The 27652-nt window shown below is 49.2% G+C and overlaps 2 protein-coding genes and 1 long non-coding RNA gene across 27 annotated transcripts in view, besides 5 other annotated features; 1 reads left to right on the forward strand and 2 right to left on the reverse strand.

The window, feature by feature from the left end:
• TFCP2 (transcription factor CP2) overlaps positions 1 to 1966 on the reverse strand; it is a 79480-nt gene extending 77514 nt beyond the window's left edge. For all 3 annotated transcript variants that reach the window (NM_005653.5, NM_001173453.2, NM_001173452.2), the window contains exon 1: positions 1132 to 1966. In NM_005653.5, coding sequence (NP_005644.2) covers positions 1132 to 1253 — 122 coding nt within the window. In that variant the 5' untranslated portion in view covers positions 1254 to 1966. The remainder of the gene's footprint in view (positions 1 to 1131) is intronic.
• Positions 1249 to 1298: an enhancer, noted in NCBI's record as "active region_6370". NCBI's record gives its function as "activates an Ori minimal core promoter by ATAC-STARR-seq in GM12878 lymphoblastoid cells {active_cell/tissue: GM12878}" and the evidence as "EXISTENCE:reporter gene assay evidence [ECO:0000049][PMID:35858748]".
• Positions 1399 to 2146: an enhancer, noted in NCBI's record as "NANOG-H3K27ac-H3K4me1 hESC enhancer chr12:51566351-51567098 (GRCh37/hg19 assembly coordinates)". NCBI's record gives its function as "activates a minimal SCP1, AML or CMV promoter by ChIP-STARR-seq in primed H9 embryonic stem cells {active_cell/tissue: H9 hESC(primed)}" and the evidence as "EXISTENCE:reporter gene assay evidence [ECO:0000049][PMID:30033119]".
• Positions 2239 to 2288: an enhancer, noted in NCBI's record as "active region_6371". NCBI's record gives its function as "activates an Ori minimal core promoter by ATAC-STARR-seq in GM12878 lymphoblastoid cells {active_cell/tissue: GM12878}" and the evidence as "EXISTENCE:reporter gene assay evidence [ECO:0000049][PMID:35858748]".
• On the forward strand, positions 3386 to 10465 carry LOC124902933 (uncharacterized). The gene is made up of 2 exons (XR_007063307.1): positions 3386 to 3514; positions 10169 to 10465. It is a non-coding gene; the product is annotated as an uncharacterized LOC124902933 (long non-coding RNA).
• A 5301-nt stretch (positions 10466 to 15766) lies between these two features.
• Positions 15767 to 27652, reverse strand: part of POU6F1 (POU class 6 homeobox 1) — a 31127-nt gene continuing 19241 nt past the window's right edge. For 6 of the 23 annotated variants that reach the window (XM_047429037.1, NM_001330422.2, XM_047429034.1 and 3 more), the window contains 7 exons: positions 27381 to 27606; positions 26601 to 26854; positions 25630 to 25758; positions 24801 to 25004; positions 21161 to 21302; positions 20427 to 20595; positions 15767 to 19423 (listed from right to left, as the gene is read on the reverse strand). In XM_047429037.1, coding sequence (XP_047284993.1) covers positions 19078 to 19423; positions 20427 to 20595; positions 21161 to 21302; positions 24801 to 25004; positions 25630 to 25758; positions 26601 to 26854; positions 27381 to 27606 — 1470 coding nt within the window. In that variant the 3' untranslated portion in view covers positions 15767 to 19077. Of the gene's footprint in view, positions 19424 to 20426; positions 20596 to 21160; positions 21303 to 24800; positions 25005 to 25629; positions 25778 to 26600; positions 27607 to 27652 lie in introns of those variants that run through there. The other 17 variants (NR_160430.1, NR_147051.2, NR_147047.2 and 14 more) reach the window with 13 other exon arrangements.
• Positions 17157 to 17296: a silencer, noted in NCBI's record as "silent region_4459". NCBI's record gives its function as "represses an Ori minimal core promoter by ATAC-STARR-seq in GM12878 lymphoblastoid cells {active_cell/tissue: GM12878}" and the evidence as "EXISTENCE:reporter gene assay evidence [ECO:0000049][PMID:35858748]".
• Positions 17667 to 17876: an enhancer, noted in NCBI's record as "active region_6372". NCBI's record gives its function as "activates an Ori minimal core promoter by ATAC-STARR-seq in GM12878 lymphoblastoid cells {active_cell/tissue: GM12878}" and the evidence as "EXISTENCE:reporter gene assay evidence [ECO:0000049][PMID:35858748]".

Genomic DNA, 27652 nt, shown 5'->3' on the forward strand with positions numbered 1-27652 from the left:
CTTGACTCACTTATTTAGATTAAGTCTTAATAATGCATTAGGAAACCCAATTATAGTCCATCTACCCCTAAGATGCAGCTGTTTCAACATTTCCATACAGGATTCTTACACATCTATAAATGAAATAAACTATACTGGAGGAATGAAGCAGCCAATGCATGCAACAAGTTATATAGGCAATAATGTTGCTTTCAAAGGAGTTTTTGTTTTGTTTTGCTTTGTTTTTCAAATGGAGTCTCACTTTGTTGCCCAGGCTGGAGTGCAATGACACCATCTCTGCTCACTGCAACCTCCGCCTCCCGGGTTCAAGCGATTCTCCTGCCTCAGCCTCCCGAGTGGCTGGGATTACAGGCCCGCGCCACCACACCCGGCTAATTTTTGTATTTTTAGTAGAGACGGGGTTTCACCACGTTGGCCACGATGGTCTCGAACTCCTGAGCTCAAGTGATCCGCCCGCCTCAGCCTCCCAAAGCGCTGGGATTACAGGCGTGAGCCACCGCACCCGGCCGAAAGGAGATTTTTCATCTGTTATCAACAACTGGCTTGATACATAAAGATCCAGAAGCATCTTAAGTTTTCTTCGTCACTTTTTCATTTCACAGCTTATGTTTTAAAAGTCAGAAATCCCAGAATTAAGTAAAGTCTTAAAGCAAGCTAGTGGTAAGATAGAGCTGTACGGACTTCTTCATCAAGGACTTCCATATCTTTCCAACAAGAAACGAACCAATATTCATCATTAAGCACCAGCTCCCAATTTCCCAACTTCCTAGATACCATTCCTATGCTATATGTAACCCTTCTTCACACAACGTCAGACTTACCCACACATACACCATCAGTCCCCAAGTCTCCCACATTGGCACAAAAGCCTCTCAACATTCATCTGGTTACTAATCAGGGACCACTTCCTTCTTCCACTGATTCTGCACAGGCTTCATATCGCCTACAATCGCTTTTTCCATTTCTTCCACAACACTAACTACTCAAAGCGACAAAAGAACAAGTCCCTTTTCCCCAATCGTAAACAGCTTTTTAAAACTCTATACACCTCCTTCCCACTCAACCCCTTTTCTTAGTGTCTATCCGCCTTTGTTATTCAGAAGGTGTAGGGTCTGGGAAAATCTCACTCACCTCATGCTATAGGCACCAGCACCCAGTTCCTGGCCGATCCCGGACAGGCTAGCATCAAAGTCCTGCACCAACCCGGATTCAATCACTTCGTCGGCCAGAGGCAGCTTCAGAGCCCAGGCCATCCTGGCTCCTTCCTTGCCCCAGGAGACACCGTGTCTTGTACAAAGGCGCGGAGGGTAATTCTACCCAACAGGAGTAACGCAAACCAAGAAAACTACAAACCAAGGTTTCCCACGCAGTGCCCACCAGCCACCCCCAAGCCCGACCAGCACTGCTCTGTGCACAACTAATCTCCCGTACCCTTGGCTGCTCGTTCTTGGCTGCCCCAGGTTCCAAAATCCCCCCTGCCCAGCTCTCAGGAACGTGAGGACCCCTTTGCTCAACTACTGCAGACTTCCCAGAGGCAGCTCTGGACTCCCGCACTCCCACTCCTCTTGAGAGTTCGTAGTGGTGGCTTGCTGCTTCCCAGTCAGACCAGCAGCAGCCGCAGGAAGCCAGCCCGGCGCTCCCACGCTGCTTTTGCACCTTTTCCCCCGCCCCTTTCTGCTGGAGGCCCCCTCCCTCCCAGGTCTCGCTCTCTCTTTCCCCTCCAGGCCTCGCTTCCGGTCAGTCCCACGATCACTTCCGGTCACCCCTTCTCAACCCCACGGCTTAGAACCAAATCCAGGTTTCCGCTGAGCCGACTTCTCGCCCTCTGTAGCCCCCCACGGCCTGGAAACATGGAAGGAGAAAGTCCAGCACAGGCGTAAAACCTAGACTCGCCAGGCCCTTCCACCGTCCGCCGCCCCAGCGCCAACCAATCATGGCGTCCTCTTTCCTCGCCTGCCCGGCGAACATGACGTCACGCTGTCGTTCGCCTATAAAGAAGAGACCGCGTCAGTCTCGGCAGCGATGATAGGCGGGCTGCGCCACGGCTCTGCCCCCGAGATGGGCTGGGCGATCACGGGGAGGACCCGGCGTGCAAGTGTCCGGGTTTAAACGTGTATCCGTGTAGTTACCAGAGTTCTGGTATTCGCTACCCATCAAGTCGTCACCCTGAGCCATGGAAGGAGCCCTTCTTCTAGCCTTATGAACCCACTCCACCCCTGGCGGACTCTTGACGGCTTCCCAAACGCTCCTTACGTGTGTGCGCTTGCTCCTGCCCATACTCCTGTCTCCTTAAACTCACCTCTCCGGAGGTCAAGACCCTGCATAAGTCCCACTTCCCTGTATATTCATTTTATCTTCGGCATCCTCTCTAATGCATTTGAACAGAAAAGCATGAGATCAGTAAAAATGTGGTTTTTAGGCCGGGCGCGGTGGCTCACGCCTGTAATCCCAGCACTTTGGGAGGCCGAGGCGGGCGGATCACCTGAGGTCGGGAGTTCAAGACCAGCCTGACCAACATGGAGAAACCCCGTCTCTACTAAAAATACAAAAATTAGCTAGGTGTGGTGGCGCGGGCCTGTAATCCCAGCTACTCGGGAGGCTGAGGCAGGAGAATCTCTTGAACCCAGGAGGCGGAGGTTGCAGTGAGCCGAGATCGCGCCATTGCACTCCAGCCTGGGCAACAAAAGTGAAACTCCGTCTCAAAAAAAAAAAAAAAAAAAAAAAAAAAAAAAAAAAAAACAGTGGTTTTTAAAAGGTTGTTGTGCTGGTATGGGGTGTTGGAATTTAAAAGATCTGAAAATCAGAGTTTAGGCTGGCGTCTTCATTTGCTACTTTGGTGTCTTCAGAACAATTGCTTAATGTCACAGATTTAGCTTCCTCGTTTGTAAACGGGAGTGGGAGTAACTTTATCTGCTCCACCTTCCTCCTTTGAGGATTGAGTAATAATGGCCATTGTTTATTAAGTATCAACTACTGCTAGGAACTTTATTACACTATGAGTAGTCCTCAAAGCGATCTTGGAATTAGAATTATAAAGCTAAATTTAATGACTCTTATTTTATCAGTAAGAAACCAAGGCTAAGCCCTTAAATTGGCCGGAGCTAAATTGACATGCCAGCTTCAGAGCTGATTCCAAAGCCTGGCATTTTTCGTTACAAGACATTGCCTTTATGTGAAAGTCTTGGTTCATTGTTGTATTCCGTTGCTGAATTTTTTAAAATCTGCCTTGACTTATACTTTTGTATATATCTGCCTCTCTCACTAGATTGATCTAAAGAATAAGGAATAGGTCTTTTTCAGGCTTGCGTTCTAAATATCTCCTACTATAGTTCCTGCTTTCAACAGGACTTTTAAACATGTTTATTGAATTTAAAAAGGAATGAAAAAGGAATAAGAGAACCAAGAAAAAGAGAGAAGTTGACATGAAGATGGCAACATGTTGTGCTGGTATGGGGTGTTTCAGCCACAGGCATCTCTCTGAAGGCTCCAGGCTTAAACCTGCCGTCTTACCTTGGTAAGCCCTAGGATCAAAGTCTTAGCTCATTCTGGAGACATTCAGTATCTCTTTAAGCCATCTTTTCTTCCCATGAGCCAGTTCTATCTCAAAATGTGTGACTGTGGATAAAGGAATGGGTCCTGGGCTCATAGACAAAAAGAGAGATGTCACATGGAGATCTGAGGGCTCAAAGTTTTTGGGTTTTGTTTTTGTTTTTGAGATAGAGTCTTGGTCTCTCGAACAGGCTGGAGTGCAGTGGCGCAATCTCAGCTCACTGCAACCTCCATCTCCCAGGTTCAAGCAATTCTCCTGCCTCAGCCTCCCGAGTAGCTGGGATTACAGGTGTGTACCACCACACCCGGCTAATTTTTGTATTTTTAGTAGCGACGGGGTTTCACCATGTTGGCCAGGCTGGTTCTGAACTGACCTCAAATGATCCACCTGGCGCAGCCTCCCAAAGTGCTGGGATTACAGGCGTGAGCCACCGTGCCCGGTGGTCAAAATCCTTTGTAAACCAGCATTGTACTTAGGGTATTTTTAAACCTCTCTTAGATAGAGCCATGCCTTGTTTGACCATCAGCTCCATCTCTAGCTGTGTAATCTCAGGCAAGTAACTTTACATCTCTGAGCCTCAGTATTTTAATGCATAAATTAGTGAAAATAATACCTCCCCCTAAAATTGTTGTGAGTATTTTTTTTTTGAGACGGAGTCTCGCTCTGTCACCCAGGCTGGAGTGCTGGAGTGCAGTGGCGCGATCTCAGCTCACTGCAAGCTCCGCCTCCCGGGTTCACACCATTCTCCTGCCTCAGCCTCTCCGAGTAGCTGGGATTACAGGCGCCCGCCACCATGCCCAGCTAATTTTTTTAATATTTTTAGTAGAGATGGGGTTTCACCGTGGTCTCCATCTCCTGACCTCGTGATCCGCCCGCCTCGGCCTCCCAAAATGCTGGGATTACAAGCGTGAGCCACCGCGCCCAGCCTGTTGTGAGTATTAAATAAGGTACCAAAATGCCGCAAAAATAGTAATGATTCAATAAATGTTATCTCCAGTCTCCCACTGGTAGTACACTTCTGCTTCTCTGTTAAGATTGGGTTGATTTTGTTATCCTATTTTAATAACATTAATTTACATTGTATAGTATGTTATGGGCTTGGGATTTTTTTGTTTCTTTTAGAGACAGGGTCTCCCTCTGTCACCCAGACTGGAGTGCAGTGGCCTGATCATAGCTCACTGTAACCTTAAACTCCTGGGCTCAAGCAATCCTCTTGCCTCTGCCTCCCAAGTAGCTGGGACTACAGGTGCACACCACTATGCCCTTTGAGACTGAGTCGCGCTGTGTTGCCAGGCTGTAGTCAGTGGTGCGATCTGCAACCTCTGCCTCCTGGGTTCAAGCGATTCTTATGCCTCGGCCTCCCAAGTAGCTGGGACTACAGGCACATGCCATCACGCCCAGCTAATTTTTGTATTTTTAGTAGAGACAGGGTTTCACCATGTTGGCCAGGATGGTCTTGATCTCTTGATCTGCGCGCCTCGGTCTCCCAAAGTACTGGGATTACAGGCATGAGCCACAGTGCCCGGCCATGTTTTCTTTTTTTAAGTTTTGGTTTTGGTGTTTTTGAGACAGGGTCTCACTCTGTTGCCCAGGCTGGAATGCAGTGGCATGATCACAGCTCATTGCATCTTGCACCTCCCAGGCTCAAGCAATTCTCCTACCTAAGCCTTCCGAGTAGCTGGGACTAAAGGCATACACCACGACACTCAGCTAATTTTTTATTTTTAGTAGAAATGGAATCTTACTATGTTGCCCAAGTGAGTGTCAAACTCCTGGGCTCAAGCGATCCTCCCACCTCAGCCCCCCAAAGTACTGGGATTACCGTGGCATGAGCCACGGTACCGAGACTGTTATGGTTTTAATAGCATTTATTTATTTATTTATTTATTTATTTATTCATTTATGAGACGGAGTCTCCCTCTGTCGCCCAGGCTGCAGTGTAGTGACGCGATCTCGGCTCACTGCAACCTCCGCCTTCTGGGTTCAAGCAATTTTCCTGCCTCAGCCTCCCGAGTAGCTGGGACTACAGGCACACGCCACCATGCCTGGCTAATTTTTATATTTTTAGTTGAGACGGGGTTTCCATGTTGGCCAGGCTGGTCTTGAACTCCTGACCTCATGAGATCTGCCTGCCTCTGCCTCTCAAAGTGCTGGAATTACAGGTATGAGCCACTGTGTCAGCCACCGTGTCCAGCCTTAATAGCACTTTAAAATACATTGTCTTGGCCTGGCACCATGGTTCATACCTGTAATCTCAGCATTTTGGGAGGCTGAGGCAGGAGGATCACTTGAGCCCAGGAGTTAAAGATCAGCCTAGGCAATATAGTGAGACCCCCTTCTCTACAAGAAATTTAAAAATTAGGCATGGTGGTGTGCACCTGTAGTCCCAGCTACTCAGGAGGCTGAGGTGGGAGGATGGTTTGAGCCCAGGAGTTCGAGGCTACAGTGAGCCATGATTGGGCCTTTACACCCAGCCTGGACAACAGAGCAAGACACTGTCTCTATTAAAAATAAATAAATCAAATACATCATATCATTTAATCTTCATAGAAGTTTTTGTTTTGTTTTTCAATATGAGGAAGCTGAGACTCAGGACAGAGTGGTCAGGATCAAGCAGAACTCTTTAAAAATTATCCTGAAAATTATTTTGTGATTCAGCAACTCCTTTCTACATATATACCCTAGAGAAACTCTTCTACATACATACCAGGAGACTTGTATGAGAATGTTGATGGCAGCACTCTTTTTGGTAACAAAATGGAATAAAAAAATTCTCCACCAGCAAAAGAATGGATAAATTAGACTGGAATATAATATTATTGAGCAGTGAAAATGAATAAAGCTATACTGAACTGCATGAATAAATCAATCTTAGAATTGAGGGGGAAATTCAGAAGTCCTCATACTGTGTAATATCACCTTATAAAGCTCAAAAGCCAGTAAAATTAAGCAATTATCATTTAGGACAGTATGCAGTTGACCTTTCAACAGCACAGGTTTGAACTGCACAGGTCTACTTATTTGTGGGTTTTCTTTTTTTTTTTAATTTTTCATTTTTGTTGTTTGTTGATATCTTCTAATATTCATGGATTGTCTTTCACCTCTGACACTCCTGAGAGATTAAGACCAACCCCTCCTCTTCCTCCTCCTCTTCAGCCTACTCAATGTGAAGATGAGGAGGAAAGACCTTTTTGATGATCCATTTCCATTTAATGAATAGTAAGTATATTTCCTCTTCCTTGTGATTTTTAAAATATTTTCTTTTCTCTAGCCTACTTTATTGTAAGAATACAATATATAATACATAAAACATAAAATATATGTCCATTGACTATGTTATCAGTAAGCTTTCGGATCAACAGTAGGCTGTTAGTAATAAAGTTTTAGGTGAGTCAGAAGTTACACTTGAACCTTCAACTGTGTGGGGATCACCCTCACATTGTTTAAGGGTCAACTTTACATAAGTCCTTTCAAAAGAAATGAAATAAATACAATTATAGTGATGGCCACATCTAAGGAGAGGCAGGGGAATAGGTGAGGGAAGGAACTAGAAAATAGCTTCAGCGTGGCCAGGCACCGTGGCTCACACCTGTAATCCCAGCACTTTGGGAGGCTGAGGTGGGCGGATCACATGAGGTCAGGAGTTTCACACCAGCCTGACCAACATGGAGAAACCCAGTCTCTACTAAAAATACAAAACTTAGCTGGGAGTGGTGGTGCGTGCCTATAATCCCAGCTACTTGGGAGGCTGAGGCAGGAGAATCTCTTGAACCCAGCAGGCAGAGGTCACAGTGAGCCAAGATCAGGCCACTGCACTCCAGCCTGGAAGACAGAGTGAGACTCCGTCTCAAAAAAAAGAAAAGAAAAGAAAAGAAAATAGCTTCAGGCTAGGCGTGGTGGCTCACACCTGTAATCCCAGCACTTTGGGAGGCCAAGGAGGGCAGATCACCTGAGATCGGGAGTTTGAGACCAGCCTGACCAACATGGAGAAACCCCATCTCTATTAAAAATACAAAATTAGCCGGGTGTGGTGGAATGCGGCTGTAATCCCAGCTACTCAGGAGGCTGAGGCAGGAGAATAGCTTAAACCCAGGACGCAGAGGTTGCAATGAGCTGAGATCACACCATTGCACTTCTGCCTGGATAACAAGAGGAGCGATACTCTGTCTCAAAAAAAAAAAACAGATAAAAAGAAAAAGAAAAAAAGATAGCTTCAACAGTTCTTTTTTTTTTTTTTTTTTTTTTTTTGAGACAGAGTCTCACTCTGTCGCCCAGGCTGGAGTGCAGTGGTGCAATCTTGGCTCACTGCAAGCTCCGCCTCCCGGGTTCACGCCATTCTCCTGCCTCAGCCTCCCGAGTAGCTGGGACTACATGTGCCCGCCACCACACCCAGCTAATTTTTTGTATTTTTAGTAGAGACGGGGTTTCACCGTGTTAGCCAGGATGGTCTCGATCTCCTGAACTTGTGATCCACCCACCTCGACCTCCCAAAGTGCTGGGATTACAGGCGTGAGCCACCACGCCCAGCCTCAACAGTTCTTAATAGTTTACGTAAGTGGAGTAGTGGGTGCATGAGTGATTGTTTCATCATTATGCTTCATAAATTACCAAAAAATTGTACTCTTGAATAAGTAACAAATATATATAAATTAGCAGCTAGTTCCTGATTCTCTTAGCTGGGATTTGCCTATGGTGATGCCTCCCTGCCAATGGAAACTGCACACACACACAGCAAAAAATAATAGCTAATATGGCTGGATGTGGTGGCTCACACCTCTACTCCTGGCACTCTGGGAGGCTGAGGCAGGTGGATTGCTTGAGCCGAGGAGTTCAAGACCAACCTGGGCAACATGGCAAAACCTCATCTCTACAAAAAAATTAGCTGACTGTGGTGGTGTGCCCCTGTAGTCCCAGCTACTGGGGAGGCTGAGGCAAGAGGATCCATTGAGCCTAGAAGGTAGAGGATGCAGTGAGCAAAGATCGCATCACTGCACTCCAGCCTGAGCAATAGAGTGAGACCCTGTTTCAAAAAATAAATAAATAGATAAAAATTAATAATATTGATAGGCTTATATTTACTGAGCTCTTCCTAAGTGCCAGGGCCTGACTAGGTGCATTAGGTTTATTATCTCATTTCATCTTCACTCACCCCTACAAGAAAGGTATCCTTATTCAATTCATCTCATAGATAAGGAAACTGAGGCTTAGAAAAATTAAATGGCTTGTCCAGGGTCACCCAGCATGAGAGCAGTAACCCCACAGTCTAGGCATCTAACCTTCATGTTACACTCTCTCTGTGAGTGGTTATAACTTTAAAAAGGGCCAGGTGTGATGGCTCATGCCTGTAATCCCAGCACTTTGGGAGACGGAGGTGGGTGGATAATCTGAGGTCAGGAGTTTGAGACCAGCCTGGCCAACATGGCAAAACCCTATCTCTACTAAAAATACAAAAATTAGTCGGGTGTGGTGGTGGGCACCTGTAGTCCCAGCTACTTGGGAGGCTGAGGCAGGAGAACCGCTTGAACCTGGGATGCAGAGGTTTCAGTGAGCCGAGATTACGCCACTGCACTCCAGCCTGGGCCATAGAGTGAGGCTCCGTCTCAAAAATAAATAAATAAATAGCCGGGCGCGGTGGCTTACTCCTGTAATCCCAGCACTTTGGGAGGCCGAAGCGGGTGGATCACTTGAGGTCAGGAGTTCGAGACCAGCCTGGCCAACATGGTGAAACTCTGTCTCTACTAAAAATACAAAAATTAGCTGAGTATGGTGGCTCATGCCTGTAATCCCACCTACTTGGGAGGCTGAGGCAGGAGAATCGCTTGAACCCGGGAGGTGGAGGTTGTAGTGAGCCGAGATTGTGCCATTGCACTACAGCCTGGGCGACGAGCAAAACTCCATCTCAAAAAAATAATAATAATAAATTAAATAAATAAATAAATAAACTTTAAAAAGATCTGCTTTGCCGGGCGCAGTGGCTAACGCCTGTAATCCCAGCACTTTGGGAGGCCTAGGCAGGTGGATCATCTGAGGTCAGGAGTTCAAGACCAGCCTGGCCAACATGGTGAAACCCCATCTCTACTAAAAATACAAATTTTAGCCAGGTGTGGTGGCAGGTGCCTATAATCCCAGCTACTCAGGAGGCTAAGGCAGGAGAATCCCTTGAACCCGGGAGGCGGAGGTTGCAGTGAGCCAAGACCACACCATTGCACTCCAGCTTGGGTGACATAGCGAGACTCCATCTCAAAAAAAAAATTAAAAATTAAAAATAAATAGGCCGGGCGCGGTGGCTCACGCTTGTAATCCCAGCACTTTGGGAGGTCGGGGCGGGCAGATCACGAGGTCAGGAGATCGAGACCACGGTGAAACCCCGTCTCTACTAAAAATACAAAAAAAAAATTAGCCGGGCGTGGTGGCAGGCGCCTGTAGTCCCAGCTACTCGGAGAGGCTGAGGCAGGAGAATGGCGTGAACCCGGGAGGCAGAGCTTGCAGTGAGCCGAGATCGCGCCACTGCACTCCAGCCTGAGTGACAGAGCAAGACTCCGTCTCAAAAAAAAAAAAAAATTTAAAAATAAATAAATAAATAAAAAAGATCTGCTTCTTACCTATTTTTCCTTTCAGAGATGAGTTTTGAAACTTGTGGAGGTGAGAATATTGAATTTTTAGAACATTGTTCCCATGAAGGAATATTGGATGAAGCATGTTTTCTCATTCACGGAAGAATAGTTCAAAGGGAATGGACTTTAAAAAAAACAAAGAGTAATCATATTAGATGTTTCGAAGAGATGACTGTGCCACATCCAGGAATATCAGGGAGCCCTGTGCCCTGGAAAATATTTAGGAAAAGACACACATGTACTCCTTGGAAATGTTTGGGACTAAGTTTAATATCTGAACCAAAATAAACACTGCACGGAAGTCCTCCTTGCCACTTATTAATTCTAAAACACACTGAGGTGAAATAAGAGGAGACTCCTAAGCCTCAGCCCCTCCCAAGTAGAGTGTAGGTCAGCCTGGAGTCATGCCCTTGACTGCGGTTCCCCCTTGGGAAAGAAGACTTCACACACTGTTTACCCCTGGAATTCTGTGACTCGGAAAGTGAACTTTTCCCATACTCTTCCCCTCCCCAACGTAACTAAGAATGAAATTGGAGTGCCACGATAGGAGAGATTCTAGGAGCAGCCCAGAAGGCTCTGCCTCCAAGAAAAGACCACTAGATGTTCCCTTAGAAATCTGGCAACACTGGGCTGGGTGAGGTGGTTCACGCCTGTAATCCCAGCACTTTGGGAGGCAGAGGTAGGTGGATCACCTGAGGTCAAGAGTTCGAGACCAGCCGGGCCAACATGGTGAAACCACGTCTCTACTAAAAATCTAAAAATTAGCTGGGCCTGGTGGCGTGCATCTGTAATCCCAGCTACTTGGGAGGCTGAGGGAGGGGAATCACTTGAACCTGGGAGGTGGAGGTTGCAATGAGCCAAGATCGTGCCATTGCACTCCAGCCTGGGCAACAAGAGCAAAACTCTTTTCAAAGGAGAAGAAAGAAATCCAGCGACACCTATCAATAGATCAAATTTTTGTACCCATAAATTAATCCCACAATAAAAATCCTGGCTTCTATTACACATAATAAATCAGAGTACCGGCCGGGCATGGTGGCTAACGCCTGTAATCCCAGCACTTTGGGAGGCCGAGGTGGGCAGATCACGAGGTCAGGAGATCGAGACCATCCTGGCTAACACGGTGAAAACCCATCTCTACTAAAAATATTTTAAAAATTAGCCGGACGTGGTGGCGGGCACCTGTAGTCCCAGCTACTTGGGAGGCCGAGGCAAGAGAATGGCGTGAACCCGGGAGGTGGAGATTGCAGTGAGCCGAGATCGAGCCACTGCACTCCCACCTGGGTGACAGAGCGAGACTCCGTCTCAAAATAAAAATAAAAATAAATCAGAGTACCTGTGGCACAGAGCTCCAAATTCAGTGTTCTGGATTGTTTAAGTTAAGGCTCATCATGGAGGGTTCATTTCTCAAGATTGGATCCTAAAACTGGACACCATCAATATGGGACATAGCAGGGTCTACCCTGGTAGGTAGAAACATGTGGAAACTCTACCAAAAAGATCACTTTGGGCACGGTGGTTCACACCTGTAATCTCAGCACTTTGGGAGGCTGAAGTGGGCAGATCATGAGGTCAGGAGTTTGAGACCAGCCTGGCCAACATAGTGAAACCCCGTCTCTACTACAAATACAAAAAATTAGCTGGGTGTGGTGGCGGGCACTTGTAATCCCAGCTACCTGGGAGGCTGGGGCAGGAGAATCATTTGCACCCAGGAGGCAGAGGTTGCAGTGAGCCGATATTGCACCACTGTACTCCAGCCTGGGCAACAGTGTGAGACTCCATCTCAAAAAAAAAAAAAGATCAGAACACACAAACACACCGCAACCTCAAGGTCCCACCCACCTCTCAGAGCCTGTATGAGGTAAAGTCAAGCACAAAAGCTTTACAGACAGCCTACCTGGGTTCAAATCCTGGTTTTGCTGTTCACAAAGCAGCACTGAGTAGATTGCTCATGCTCCGAGTACCTCAATTCCCTATCTGCAAAGTGGACATAATAATATTTCTTACTTTATAGAATTACTGTGAGAATTAACTGAGATGGTGCATGTTAAGTGCTTACAAGAGTGCCTAGCACTCTGACTAGTGATCAGTAAAGGCTAGCTATTGTTATTATTGACAAGGAGGGCACCCTAGCAGCTGTCTTGCCTATCTCATAAGACAAATCAGTTCTCTCAGAAGCTTGAGGGTTTGCATGCCTTGGGTCGGTACCCATTCATCCCCTAGCCTTCCCTTTTCACTCGAGTAATCAAGTCAGTCAATGTCATTGGGTTTCCCAGTTAATCAGTGGACATTTTCCTCCAGGTACAAGAAGAAACCATTCCCCAGGCAGGCTTTTTTAGGGACTGACCATCTCGTTTTAACTCTTCACCTCTTCCTGCCACCCACCTGTGAGACCTAGTGTGGCTTCTCTGAAGGACCCTGCAGTTGAAAGGAAAGGAAATCAGAAGTTTTCACAGCCCCACAGTTCTACCTCAGGCTCTTCTCCTCTAGAGAAGACTAGAGAAGTCCAGAAACCAGCCCATATCCATAAAACATCAGTTCCCCCATCAGAGCCATCCACAACACAATAGACTTCCCAGGCCTGGGAATAAAGACTGCAGTCCCTTCATCCTCTAAAGCCTTCCTGGGCCAAATGCCAAGAGCCACCCTCAGCTGGTCTGAGCCAGAGCTATCAGCTCCAACCGACCTTGCTGGTGGGAGCTGCTGGGAGCTGTCTGTCTCAGGTCACAGCCAGCTGCTGCCCAGATTCTATTCACTCTCATATTTCACACACCCAACCCGGCATAGCTAAGCTGAATCTCATAGTCCTGCTTTCTCCCAGGAACCTGAAGTCAGGGACTCAGCTGTCATTATTTCCGTGAAGGAGAGGGTATGAAATGCATTCAGTCAATCATCTGCCATTTATCAAGCACCTACTGTAGGCCCCTAGCCTGTGTAATGAGGAGTCACAGCCCAGCGTGGATAGCTAATATCTATGTAAGATCTATGTAATATCTACGTAAAATCTATGCAAAAGGTAAGTGCTGGCTTCTGTTTGAATTTTTGCCCCATTGTTTCAGAGTACTGTAAAGCTCCTCTGATCCCTAAGCTTTGCATCAGAGGCTTAGACATTCATTATCTCCCTGGGTAGGGGTGAAGAGGTGAGGCATGGTCCAGAATCCAGCACAGTGCCCAGCTCAGGAATGTTGGTTGGGTAGAATCAAAGGTGCTGTCTTGCTCTCACCGGTTTATTTTTATTTGTTTGTTTATTTTTTTGAGACAGGGTCTCACTCTGTCATCCAGGCTGGAGTGCAGTGGCTTGATCTCGGTTCACTGTAGCCTCTGCCTCCCAGGCTCAAGCGATTCTCATGCCTCAGCCACCCAAGTAGTTGGGATTACAGTCTTGTGCCCCCACGCCTGGCCAGTTTTTGTATTTTTAGTAGAGACAGGGTTTTGCCACGTTGGCCAGGCTGGTCTCAAACTCCTGACCTCAGGTGAGCCACCCGCCTCGGCCTCCCAAAGTGCTGGGATTACAGGCATGAGCCACTGCTCCCGGCTGCTCTCACCAGTTTGGATTAGGTAGCCCAGACGTCATCAATACCAGCTGAGTGTCAGGGGAGAGGGACCTGAGAGACAGATGTCATGAACCCTGCTCCTAGGAAGTAGACAAGCCAAGAGAGACCCTCATGACAGGTGTGCTCTCAGCTCTAAGCTCAGGTGACAGTCCTGGGGAATAATACAAAGTCTTGCTTACCATATAGTCACCCTTTTGTAAAGTATAAGTCAAACTAATTATTAAAGTTCTGGCTTCCTATCCTGAAGAGTATACCTTTATAGTGACCTGGGAGGCCAGGTTTGGATTTAGAACTCCTTGAAGTCCCATGCTAGAATGTGCCCCAGTCCTGGCCCTCAGCCCGTTGGCTGCCTTCTCTTCCCTCTCCCCATCTTGCACTGCAAAGAGCCTGACGTACATGTGTAGACACCGTAGTCTACATATCCAAGCTCTGTCACCCTACTGTCTGACAAACAGCTGCCCTTTGGCCACGGCAGGGCTGAATGTTTGTGTTTCCCAAAAATTCCTATAATGAAACTGAATCCCCAATGTGATAGTACAGTTGTCCTTCCATATCTGTCGGGGATTGGTTTCAGGATGCCTGAGGATACCAAAATCCACAGGTGCTCAAGCCTCTCATATAAAATGGTGTACTCCAGCCTGGGCAACATAGTGAGACCCCATCTCTAAAAACAAAAATAAAAAAATTAGCCAGGTGTGGTGGCACATGCCTGTAGACCCAGCCACTTGGGAGGCTGAGGTGGGAGGATCACTTGAGCCAGGGAAATCTAGTGAGCTGTGATCACGCCACTGCACTCCAGCCTGGGCCAACAAGTGAGACTCTGTCTCTAGAAACAAAACAAAACCCACCAAAAACAGTGTAGTATTTCCACATAACCTCCTGTGCACATCCTCTTGCATAAAATTATCACTGGGTTACTTATAATACCTACTAATATAATGTAAATGCTATGTAAATAGTTGTTATACGATATTGACATTTTTTGTTTGTTTTGTTTTTTACTGTTGTATTAGGGGGGTTGGGTTGTTTGTTTGTTTGGAGGCAGAGTCTTGCTCTGTTACCCAGGCTGGAGTGCAGTGGTACGATCTCGGCTCACTGCAACCTCCATCTCCTGGGTTCAAGCAATTCTTGTGCCTCAGCCTCCCAAATAGCTGGGATTACAGGCATGTACCACCACACCTGTTTAATTTTTGGATTTTTAGTAGAGACGGGGTTTTACCATGTTGCCCAAGCTGGTTGCGAACTCCTGAGCTCAGGCAATCCGCCTGCCTTGGCCTCCCAAAGTGCTGGGATTACAGGCAATAGCCACCACACCCGGCCTGTTGTTGTTTTTGAATATTGTATTTTCCATCTGAGGTTGTATCTGAGGACACAGACCCCAGGGATATGGAGGGCTGACTAGATTAAGGTGGGGCCTTTTGGGGTGTGATTAGTCAAGTAAGATTAATGGGATTAGCTCCCTTATAAAAGAGGCCAAGGGAGCTTGCTTGCCCTTCCACCATGTGAGGTTACAGTGAAAAGATACCTGTTTATGAGGAAGAGGGCTCTTATCAGACATCGACCTTGATCTTGACCTTGATCTTGGACTTTCCAGTCTCCAAAACTGTGAGCAATAAATTTCTCTTGTCTGTAAGGCACTGAGTCTAAGGTACTTTGTTGTAGCAACCAGAGCAGACTAAGGCAGCCACCTCTTAGACCTACAAGTGTGCACACCAACGGCACAGCTCCTGGAACCCAGAGAGGAGGGGTCCAGGAAGTGGGCTTGGCAGAGAATTCTGGGGCTCTAGGTATAAGAAGGGTGTTCTAAAAGGAGACCCTGTGCCCTTCTGTCTCTAGAACTGAATCCCCAATGTGATGGGAGGGTCGTGGTGGCAGGAGGGCCCAAGCAGGGACTTCTGAAATGGGAATCCAGAGTACTGACCCCTGCTTTCTTGCAATGGGATTTTCCAGGCTGCAAGCTGACAGCAAAGACTGTCACTTCCCTGTCCTCTGACACTGTTTCACTAATATTTCTACCCTGAAGAGTGAACAGGAAACAAGCAGACCAGTACAAAAGAAAAAATACTGTTTATTCCACACAACTACATCAAGCGCTTCTTCCCCATTCTCCTCTCCCCTTGCTGCCCCTCCAGCCCTCAGGAAGCTTTGTCTGTGTTGGGAACAGTGAGAACCTCAGTGCCAGAGCCTGGTCCAAGAGGCAGGAAGGAAATCTGGGCATGGGAAGGTAATTGGATTTCCAAGAACACAAAAATGTCAGAGTCTCGCATTCCAAACTCGTGTGTTCCTTAGTCCATTTGGCTGAGTTCTTTCCCTGGACTTCACCTGGATAAAATGCCGTGGTAATGCAGGGTCAAAGGCCCTAGCTGATCCACCAGGAAAGTTTTGGTCTTTCTTCCATTTAAAACAAAACAAACAAAACTCCACACAGTTAAACCATTTCTGTCCATTCTCCTCTCTTTCCATAGTAAAGACGACACTAAGCTCTGGTGTAAGTCCAGAAGATGTTTTCAAAACAAAATGTATACCAACTCCTTCAGAGCCTGATGCTAACAAAAAATAAAATAAACCTACCTCCTAGGTGAGAGGTTCAGGCCCCAGCTGCTTCCTGGGGGGTCTTACACTGTGGGAGGAAGGGCAGAGGTCACAGGCCAGCGAGCTGTGCTTTGGGTAAACCTCAGGGACACCCTGCACCCCCATGCCTGGGGAACTCAGCCTGCAAACCTCCCACCCCTGGTATTGTTCCTCTGAATGACCAATCCATCATTCCAGCAGAGGAGAAATGGTTTAGTTTTAGCTCAGCTTTGGGAAGACAAATTTAAATGAGGGAGGGGCTGAGAAAGCATGGCCAGGCCTAATTTAGACCAGTGGTTCATGATTGTTTTCCCATCATGACACAGGACAGATGGTGTTCCCCTGCACGTCCACCACCACAGACACACCCTGGATTATGTGCTATTCCCAGGGTGCCAGCTGTGACCCATTTGTCTCTCTCAAAAAAGAAAGCATACCTGAATGCAAGCGTCTGAGCATGAAAACCTGCATCGCCATAAGTTTTTGTTTGTTTGAGACCGAGTCTTGCTCTGTCACCCAGGCTGGAGTGAAGTAGTGTGATCTCAGCTCATTGCAACCTCCAGGGTTCAAGCAATTCTCCTGCCTCCACCTCCCAAGTAGCTGGGATTACAGATGTGCACTACCACACCTGGCTAATTTTTGTATTTTTAGTAGAGACGGGGTTTCACCATGTTGGTCAGGCTGGTCTCGAACTCCAGACCTCAAATGATCCGCCCACCTCGGCCTTCCAAAGTGTTGGAATTACAGGCATAAGCCAATGTGCCTGGCCTAATTTACTGAAGTGTCAGTCACTGAATCCTTTACAAGCTCTGGAACTTAACTATTCTCACTGAAAACTTGTTTGCAACACCCCTCCCAAATGAGTCTGTCATCTCATTGAGGCAGGTCGATAACCCTGAACTAGAGTGTGGAGACTCTCTGTTGGAGACACGCTCTCCTGAAAAGCTGGGTCAGGCAAGCTGCCCACCTGCTTCCTCACCTCTGCTACACTCTGGCAGGCATGGTTTGTCCAAATGCAGCAGAGCGTGTATGTGTGTGTGTGTGCGCGCGTCTGTGCGCGCTGCACGTGCGTGTGCTAATTCAGCACACAACTGTCCTCCTCTTACTGGCCAGGCTACCAAGAGGGTGGCCACGCTGGCACTGCAGGGCCTGGGAGGCACCAACAGTAAGTGGGAAAGGAAACAGGACACCAGAGGAAGCTAGGCTAGGAGGTGGCTCTGCACCAGTGACTGACAGAGGTGGTGATGTGTCCCCAGCTGACGGTCCTTCCCTCAGGGTGGATCATGGGAGGTCCACTGGAGGCAGCTGTTAGAGACCAGCCTCTGTAAGGATAAGAGTACTGAAGACAGGGGTGGTTGACCCCCGTGACTTGGGGCCCTTTAGGGATAATCTACACCGCAAGCCTGTGGTCATCTAGGCAAATCTCAGTTCTCTCCTGACTTCCTGGAGTTACATACTGAATTTTAGGGGCTTTCCAGCCACAGTGAGGCTGGAAACTCACTTAACAGCTTGGATGAGAGCTAACCCCCAAGGTACCATAGCTACCCCGTCTAGAAGCAAAACTCAATCTGATCTGGGGGTGTCCTTGGCTCAGAGGACACTGTGGGGATTGCTTACACACAGACATGGTCTGAGACTCGACAAAATGAGATTTCTCCTCCCGTATCCAAGGCTTAAAGTTACAAAGAAAATTAGAGTTAAGTCAACTTCCACAAGAGACCTTCCTGGGCTCCATCATTTATTTCAGGATGTTGTCCTTTCCCCCAGGGCCTTGCTGTCTGGTTTATTGTTTAATTTGCTCCTTTTGAGAAGGCCCCAGTATTGGGTTGGGAATGGGTGTGGGGACAAGAGAAAGAAAGAGAAAGTCAGCATTCCTTTCCTTATTTTTCTCCAGAGTTGCCCGTTTGCTTGCATATCCAGTCTGCAAGTTCTCTTAACCCACGTTTTTTTGTGGGAGGGATGGCCATTGACAGAGATTAAATTAAAATATGAAAGAACAGCCTTATTTTCTAAATTCCCAACCTTCTGCAGACCCAGGAGAACTCCAGAACAGGTAGAGTTCACTGTTGCTTCCTTCCAACATGGATTAAGAAAAGGTTCTGTTTTAGTGCAATTTTCCCCGCAAAGGAACCAGGAAGAGGTGGAAGAGGAGATCCCATGTTCCAGCCCCAGGGGTTTGGGAACCTTCTGACCTTGAGGTCAAGGCAGACATGGAGTCTGACCTTCTGAGCAGCACATCACACTTTTTTGAATTTTATCTCCCAGGTCCTTTCGGTGCACCTGCAGGCAAAGTGTGGGGGGCGGAAGGGCAGTGTGAGGCTGTGTTTCCACTGGATGAGTTGTCATACCTGCCACACTAACACAGAGGAGCAAAGGAGAAGACAAGGTGGAAAGAGAATGCCATCAAAAGCAAGAGCTAATGGCCAGTGGTCCTTAGGAGCTGCTTTAGCCCTGCCCCAAAGACAGGGAGTTTCTGGTTCCCCACCAGAATTCACCCTTCAGAAACCATGCTAGCAAGGTGCTTCTCTAAGTGACGTCACAAATCCTCTTCTTCGGAGTGACCAGCCCAGAGCCTGGAGCTCTCGTGTGGCCCCCTCTGGCCTCCCCATGATGTGAGATGTGTGGGAGAAAAGAGGGACATTGATGCACATGCACACGGTGGAGTCTGATGACCTGGGGTGAGCACAGCTGCACGTGGCAAAATGACAGGTGCTGTCATGGCAGTGGCTGCAGCCGGATGCCACGGGAAATGGACAAAGTGCTAGAACACAGGGCCAGGGGCTGAGCCCTAAGGGATCTGAAAGACGTTCAGCTTGCTGGTGTTCTTGAGCGTCTGGCGCCGATTGCAGAACCAGACCCGCACTACCTCACGGTCGTAGTTGAGCTCCTTAGCAATTTCAGTGATCTCCTGGCCTGTGGGCAGTGGGTTCTTCTCAAAATAGGCATTGAGAGCCTCTATGGCCTGGGGGGTGAAGGAGGTGCGGCGTTTGCGTTTCTTGGAGGGCTCGCCTCCCACAAACTCCATCAGGTTCTGCTGGCCTTCCTGGTTCCGCAGTTCAGCTTCGTTTAGCCACTTTTCCAGCACCGGCTTTAGCTTCTGGGCACTCTTGGGTGTGATGTCTAGCTTCTCGAACCTGTGGGCAACCCATACCCAGGAAGAGGCAGTGAGAGCATGTTGGTCTCTTTGGCACACCCCGCACCTAGGTGCAGGCTCCATCCTCAAGGGGCCGCTCCTCTAGGGGCTGGTGAGACTGTACCCAGTGCTCCCCTCACCACCTCCACCAAGACCCCTCTAGTTTGGCCAAGCCCAGACTCCTCAGACCCTCTGATGTGCCCGGTCCTAACAGGGAAACCATTCCCACGGCCTCGGCTCAGTCAGTAGTGGAATAATAATAGTGCAACTGCCTTACAAACAACCATTCTAGAACGTTCCCCTAAATGAATGAAGTCCTTTTGAGGAGTCACCTTGGGAGGCCTCCAGTCACACTCCCATAGCAGCATCACTAACAAGTCAGGCTGCTCTTTCTGGCTGAGCTGGATGTGGTGACAGGATTCTCCACAGGATGCTGGAGGCACTCTAAAGGTCACTCTAGCCTGACCTATGGAGCTGGCAGGCAGATGAAACCTTTTGGCCATCCCTGAGCCATGCGCTTATTCTTGTTTGAAACTCTATCCCTCCTGGCACCAAAACTAGTTTGTAGGCTGCTTACAGAAAACTCAGCTATGTTACTTTACAGTCATTCCTTGTTAGAGGGGAGATGGGAGCATGATGAGGTATGGTGGGTTACAGTTAAGGGCCAACATAGAATGGAAGTTCCCACTTTGGTGACTAATTTTATAAGCTGTACTCCTTTCCTGCTAGAATTCCTCAGTGGATTAGGGTCTTGGGTTCCCCAAAGAAGACCCATATTAATGCCCAGGATTGGAGGATAATCTTCAGAGGACCTCAGAAGGACAGGGTCAGCCTTTGACTGCCCCAGGTGTTCATATCTACCCTTAAGATGGTCTTCCTTATCTGGAAAAAGGCTGGAGCAAGGGGGCATATGGAAAAGGGGCCGGTGCTCAGGTTCCCATGAGTGCCCGGTGGCACCAGGCAGCTGAGCAGGCCCTAATCCTGTCTAGGGCAGCCTTACTCACCGGCAGATGGCTGACTGGCTGTAGGCTGGACCTTCCGTTGCAGTCAGAGCCTGACCCACCTGGGTCTGTGTAAGGCCCAGCGAGAGCCGCCGGATCTTAAAGTTCTTGGCAAACTCCCGGATCTCTTCTAAGTTGATCCCATCCTCATCCAGACTTGGAGTATGTGGCTCTAGGCCAGAGGGAGGGAGCAGGGATGAGTGTGTAACATGGGAACCATCCCTGCTTATCTGGCTCATTGGTCTGAACTGACGCAGTAGTGAGAGGTGAGGACACCTGGGAAAAGGCTCACGCACCTTCAAGACTCTTATCACCTTTGTCCCCAAGACAAGCAAGAGTTGAAGGGGCCTAAACTAACCTCTCCAGGGGTAAGGAGCTATTTTCAAGTTCTTCCAGCTCTAACTGCTCACCCTCCCCCATTCTCCCTAGGCCTGGCCCCAAACACACTTGTTGGTCACCCACATTCCTCAAATACTGGGTGAGAGACCATAGCGGAGACAGCCCATGGCTCGGCCTCTCCAAAAAGCAGCCAGCCAGCCAGCTTGACAGCCTCCACTGTCATCGTGCCCAAACTCCACCTCAACAGGAATGGGAATAAAAAAGCCAGCCCCTCATATTGGGCCTCTGCCCTTCCCCTCTGGACCCCAGGATATCAAGGAAAGCAGCATCTGAAGAGATTGGGTGCCCACATAAATGCCTCCCCACTTCTCCACACTACTTCTCCAGGAGCCACTTACTGGACACCAACTGGCTGACGGTGGGGGTCTCTGAGCAGGTAATTGGGATAGGAGCAGAGGCAGATGGCTTGGCGGCTGGAGCTGGGCTGGCAATGACCACAGCAGGCTGGGGCACGGTTGGTGTGGGCTGGATGGGCTGCACCTGTGAAAGGACAGACAACAAGCCTTTGCTGCCCTCTGCCAGGCTCAGGGAGTTAAAATCCCTGGGTGGACCAGAGGCAGGGCAAAAACAGACATGAAATCCTCACGCATGCAGGACATTCCCGCCTGGGCTCTATCATAAAACAAGACTAGGCAGGGCATGGTGGCTGATGCCTGTAATCCCAACACTTTGGGAAGCCAAGGCGGGAGGATCACTTGAGGTTGGGAGTTTGATATCAGCCTGGGCAATGTGGCAAAACCCTGTCTCTACTAAAAATACAAAAATTAGCTGGGCATGGTGGTGGGTGCCTATAATTCCAGCTACTCAGGAGACTGAAGCAGGAGAATTGCTTGAACCTGGGAGGCGGAGGTTGCAATGAGCCAAGATCGCGCCACTGCACTCCAGACTGGGCGACAGAGTGAGACTCCGTCTCAAAAAAAAAAAAAAGCAAGACTAAGAAACACCTTATTAATACCCACCCAACAATAGTGACTGAATTATACTAAATAAGCACAGCAACCTGCCCTACCAACCTGGAGCTTCACACCCAACTGTGACACAGGCAGGCGAGAGGCTCAGAAAGGTTCAGTACACTTGGCCAAAGCCCCAACAAGTGCTCACCCTTGGGATAACTGCTTCCAAATCTCTGCCCTCAAAGCAGCAGCCTCAACCTGATTTTAGAGCCTCTCAGGCACCAAATGCGCATTGAACAGGGAAACTGGCAGATGGCTTTTGGTATCTCTCTACCAAGACAGACTGTGCAGCCATTAAAAGGGAGAAGGTATACCTCTTAACTACTCTGATGTCTGAGTCATAGCCCTAAGTGAAAAATGTGGTCGGGCGCGGTGGCTCACGCACTTTGGGAAGCCAAAGGGGGCGGATCACCTGAAGTCAGGAGTTCAAGACCAGCCTGGCTAACATAGTGAGACCCCGACTCTTACTAAAAATACAAAAATTAGCCAGGCGTGGTGGCACGCACCTATAATCCCGGCTACTGGGGAGGCTGAGGCAGGAGAATCGCTTGAACACGGGAGGCAGAGATTGCAGTAAGCCGAGAGATCATGCCACTGCACTTCAGCCTGGGCAACAGAGTGAGACTCCATCTCAAGAAATAAAAAATAATTTAAAAAAAAAGAAAATCAGTTTTTATGGAATAATGCCTTTAAGAAATACATATGAATTTCCAGAAAAACAAAATCTTGCACATAAAGTGAGCTATCAAAAGAAGTTGTCTCTGGAGTTGGAATTAGAAGGAATTTTTACTTTTTACATTACACAAAATATTAGAATTTTTGTAAAAACCACATATCCTATTTGTAATCAGAAGAAACTATAAATATATGAAAGTATTTGGTATGATTAAAAAGAAAAAAAGCTTTCTAGGAAGTACAGATTTCTCCAGGATGGTCCTGTTTCCTGGATTCTACCCCTGGTACGTCTCAAGTCCATTGCTTCTTCATCCCCAGGGCCTTTGACTTAGTTCAGAGCTCCTTGACTCTCCCTAGAGCTGTTTAAACTGCCTCACCACAGTCCAGTTCTTGACACCATGTGAATAACGGGGATTTTTTTTTTTGAGACGGAGTCTCACTTTGTTGCCCAGGCTGGAGTGCAGTAGCATGATCTCGGCTCATCACAACCTCTGCCTCCCGGGTTCAAGCAATTCTCCTACCTCGGCCTCCCAAGTAGCTAGGATTACAGGTGCCCGCCACCACACCTGGCTAATTTTTGTATTTTTAGTAGAGACGAGGTTTCACCATGTTGGGCAGGCTGGTCTTGAACTCCTGGCCTCAGGTGATCCACCCGCCTCGGCCTACCAAAGTGCTGGGATTACAGGCCTGAGCCACTGTGCCCAGCCTATAACAGGGATTTTTAAAAAATGCATCTCTCAGCTGGGCACGGTGTCACATGCCTGTAATACCAGCACTTTGGGAGGCTGAGGTGGGCTGATCACTTGAGTTCAGGAGTTTGAGACCAGCCTGGGCAATGTGGCAAAACCCTGTCTCTACAAAACATACAAAAATTAGCCAGGTGTGGTGGTGCACACCTGTAGTCCCAGCTACCGGGGAGGCTGAAGTGGGAGGATTGATTGAGTCTAGGAGCAGAGGTTGCAGTGAGCCAAGGTCACATCACTGCACACCAGCCTGGGCAACAGAGCAAGACCCTGGTCTCAAAAAAAAAAAAAAAAAAGCTCATCTGGTCAGCCATTTCCTTGCTAACGCCCTTCAGCATCAGCAGTTCCCTACTACCTTACCTGATAATGGTAATAACAAGAACTACTGCTTGTTTTTCAAGTGCTTTCTGTGCGCCAGTGTTCATTGCCTATGTATAATATATCCTTTAGCATTCATAACCTTCTGAAGTTGGTACCCTTATGATCCCTGTTCACAGATAAAGCTAAGAGGTTATTTACAAAACTTGGAAGTGCATGCTGCATTTGCGAACCACTGGCCATATTGTGACCTGGGAACTTAGGAATGCAAACTCTTGGACCCCACTTCAGATCTACTGAATAAGAAACTCTGAGGTGGGACCCAGGAATCTTCATTCCAGCAAGGCCTCCAGGGGATTCTGATGCACAGGCTTGAGAACTGCTGCTCTAGCATGTGATACTTGTTGCAGTTCCCTGAAGGTAGAACACTCTCACATCCAACTCATCCCTTTTTATTTTTAGAGATGGGGTCTTGCTATGTCGTCCAGGCTGGAGTGCAGTGGCTATTCACAGCCATGATCATTGTACACTGCAGCCTTGAACTCTTGGCCTCAAGCGATCCTCCGCCTTAGCCTCCTGAGTAGCTGGGACTACAGGTGAGCACCACTACACCTGGCTTTATCCCTTTATGATAGTCCAATGTCCCTTATCTATGAAGTCTTGCCTAACCCCCAAGTTTGTCAAGAGCTCTTTTCTCTAGGGCCCCAAACCACCTTATTTGTGTGTCCCTGTGATAGTTTTGTCCCACTGACTTGTAATGGTCTCCAATGCCAAGCTACCTAAGGCTAAGAAGGCATCTTATTCATCTTTGTGTCTTCAGCACTTGGAATAATAGTAGGCACTAAATAAATACTCCTAGAATGAGCAATGAGTAAATCAAAGCCACGGTGCAGAGTGGAGGGGTGGAGGGATGGAGGGGTAGAGGAATGGGGTACAGAACTGACTTCCCAGGGCTTTTCAGGAAGTTTGTTCACCCTAAAGCTGATTCTGGCCCAGTCTACTTTGACCATCACCTACCTCCCTGACCTTCTTAGAACAGCACTGGCATCTGAGGGCACCTATACATATTTTGGGTGCGTGTGAGTAGGGGGTCTCGTGGTGCTGTTTCCCTGGGCAGAACCTGTGTGGACACATGTGGGCCTTCTACTCTGGGACCTCCCCCACTTTAGGAAGCGCCCTGCACTCCCAGGAGTTTCAGAAGATGCTGTCCTGCCTGGCAGTCTGGAGGGAAGCAGCCGGTGCCAGATAGCAGAGCCTGCCCCACCCCCCACCCCCCCCAGCCCCTGTACCTCACTCTTAGCAGGGGACTCAGGTGTGCTTGGCTTCCGGACAGCCACAGGTGGAGGCAGGGGGCTGCTAGCCAGGGTCGCAATCACCTGGCCCTGGGCGTTCAACAACAGCTGGGGGGTCACGGCCTGGACCTGCAGGCTTTGGGCTGGTGCTGGGGCCGCCACACTAGCTGAGTTCACTACCCATGGAAGGGTTCCAATAACCTGGGAGGAAATAAGGCAGGGACCCCAGGTGTGAGGGTAGCATCCAGCTCCACCCCAAACCCAGATCCCCACACCACCAGGGGAACAGACTAATGGACAAATCCCTCAACCTGCTCTGGCCTCAGCTTCTGCATGAGTAAAATGCAGGATTCACACTCTAAGGGCTACTTCCTTTATTCCATCCTCAGAGCTATGGTGGAGCAGGAATAGGTCTGGATGTGGATTCAGAGACCTGCCTTGTTCTGCCACATTTTAGCTGTGTAGCTTTCATTGCTCTGAACCTCAGCCTTCTGTCTTGTAAGATGGGAATAAAAATCTCCATCTAATAGATTTGTACTCCAAAGAAAGTGAGATGATGTATGAGAAAGCACCTAGCATAAAGCCTGACCACAGCATGGGTGCTCCATAAATGAAAACTCCCACGTAATGTGAGCACCTCCAGGACAGGGTGGTGGCTACACCCCTGCCCAGCTTCAGCATCGGCAGAAAGCCGCCGCAGAGGAGATAGGAACAACAGCTTGACGTCTGTTCGAGTTTCTATGACCCACAGCCCAAGACCTGGCCGCCATCCCCTGGCCAGCCTCTCCACAGTCCCCACCCTCCAGCCCTGTCTTTGGCCACTTGCCTGTCCCTGAGCATTGGTGAGGATCTGACTGCTGATCCCTGGCATGCTGGGAATGGCGCTGGTAATGACTGGAGCTGTAGTGAGGGACCCCAGGATCTGGGTCTGTCCCCCGAGGGAAGCAGCACTGATCTGTGGGTGGAGGAAGAGCCTTGCTCAGAAGCCAAGGGGTGAGAAGAACCCCGGGCAGAGGGAAGAGGACAGAGGGCATTGGGGTGGGTAGATGTGAATGTGGGCTTCAGGCCCATGTCTACCGGCTGGATGGTTTCCAGGGCTAGGGGTCTACCGGCTGGATGGTTTCCAGGGCTAGGGGTCTACCTGCTGGATGGTTTCCAGGGCTAGGGGTCTACCGGCTGGATGGTTTCCAGGGCTAGGGGTCTACCGGCTGGATGGTTTCCAGGGCTAGGGGTCTACCGGCTGGATGGTTTCCAGGGCTAGGGGTCTACCGGCTGGATGGTTTCCAGGGCTAGGGGCTGCAGGGGTCAGCAGGGAAGGGCAGGGCCACAGTCATGGAAAAGTAACTCGGGTTAATCTTTCAGGCCAGGCCTGGGAGGGTAGAAGGGCCACACTGGAGAGGCTGATGTGATCCTAGTCATATCTAACGCCTCCCACTGCCAAGCCAGGAGCTACACTGGACAGACACCAGCATAGAGCTGTAAGCTCTGACTGCACCGTAGGGACAGCTCACAAGTTTTCAACCCCCAGACGTCATCCCACCCTCCAAGCCTGGTCCAGTGGTTCAGGTTCTGGAGAATGTGCCCAGCCCTCTTGGCAGAGGTTGTCTGCTTTTATCTGGGATGGACGGGCTGGCAGCTGCAAGGAGAAGGCCTCAGAGGGAGCCCATCTCTGCTGATGTGTTGGAAAAGGGCTGTTTTCGGGGGGGGCTCGTCCTCCACTGTGGGAAGGGTCAGTTCCACCCTTGGCCCATGATTCCGTCCATCCCTGGTCAGCCCTGGGTGAGGGCAGCAGCTTACGATTCCTGGGCTAAATGCGAAGCCTGCAGGCTGGACGGTGATCTGTGGGGGGGTGTCCACTGGCTTGGGGGTAGGGGCAGCAGCGGTGGCAGCAGTGGGCTGCGGGAGGATGGCAGGTGTGGTCTGCAGCAGCGGCTGGGTCTGGAACAGCGTCTGGGGCTGGGCTGGTGGCCGGGGTTGGGCCGTCGAGGAGGCCTGTACTGGTGCGGCAGCTTGTACCGGTGCCGGAAGAGCGGTGTTCAGCACAGCAGCTGCTATGGAGCAAGGCAGAGACAGAGGTGCTCAAATGCCTAGCCACTGCTCACAGCGGCTCCAATCCCAAGGGATCTGGCACAAGAAGGAGAGGGGGTTGGGGCAGTGGGCTCAGTGGGGCAGGCAGCCACGATTCCCTTGATCCTTGAAGGGCTGGCGCACGCCAGCATCTCTTATCCCCCCTCCCTGGGGCCAGGAGATGTGTAGGTTCAAGAACCAGACGTTGAATCTTCTTGTAGTCCTTCCCAGGAGGCCGGTCATGGGGTGAGTTCTGGCGTGGGGGGAGAGGGGCAGTCTCAGACAGCTGGCCGAAGTACGGCAGGCCTGCGGGGCCAGCGTGGCGTCACGGCCTACAGTCCCGAGGTGGTGCAGCAGCTCTGCGGCCGGATGCCCAAGACACCGGATCCAGACTCCAGGGCGGTTGCCCTGGGTGGGCCGTGGGTTCTGAGTCCGACATGGCAAGCACACGTGCGGGGGTGTAGTAGAGGGTGGGGGGCCTGGTGCAGTCCTGGGAAGAGTTGCCGTTACCTTGGAGACCGGCTAAAGGTGGCTTGAACACTCCCCCCGTAGGAGAAGCAGCGGTCAGTCCTGGGAGGGCAGCCACAGTTGCTGTAGGAATTGTCCACACGGCCAGCCCCTGCTGACCAGCCACTTGACCTGCAATACTGATGGGGATAAGAAGAGGTTGAGTAACTGCCCCTGCTGGAACCATAACTCCTGTCAGAACTGTGGCTAAGTTTTCCTGAGTCAAGACCTGCAAAAGCAAACAAGATTTCAAAAAGAAAAGAAAAAATAAAAAA

The sequence above is a fragment of the Homo sapiens genome, chromosome 12, assembly GCF_000001405.40.
Source record: "Homo sapiens chromosome 12, GRCh38.p14 Primary Assembly".
NCBI classification, from domain to species: domain Eukaryota; kingdom Metazoa; phylum Chordata; class Mammalia; order Primates; family Hominidae; genus Homo; species Homo sapiens.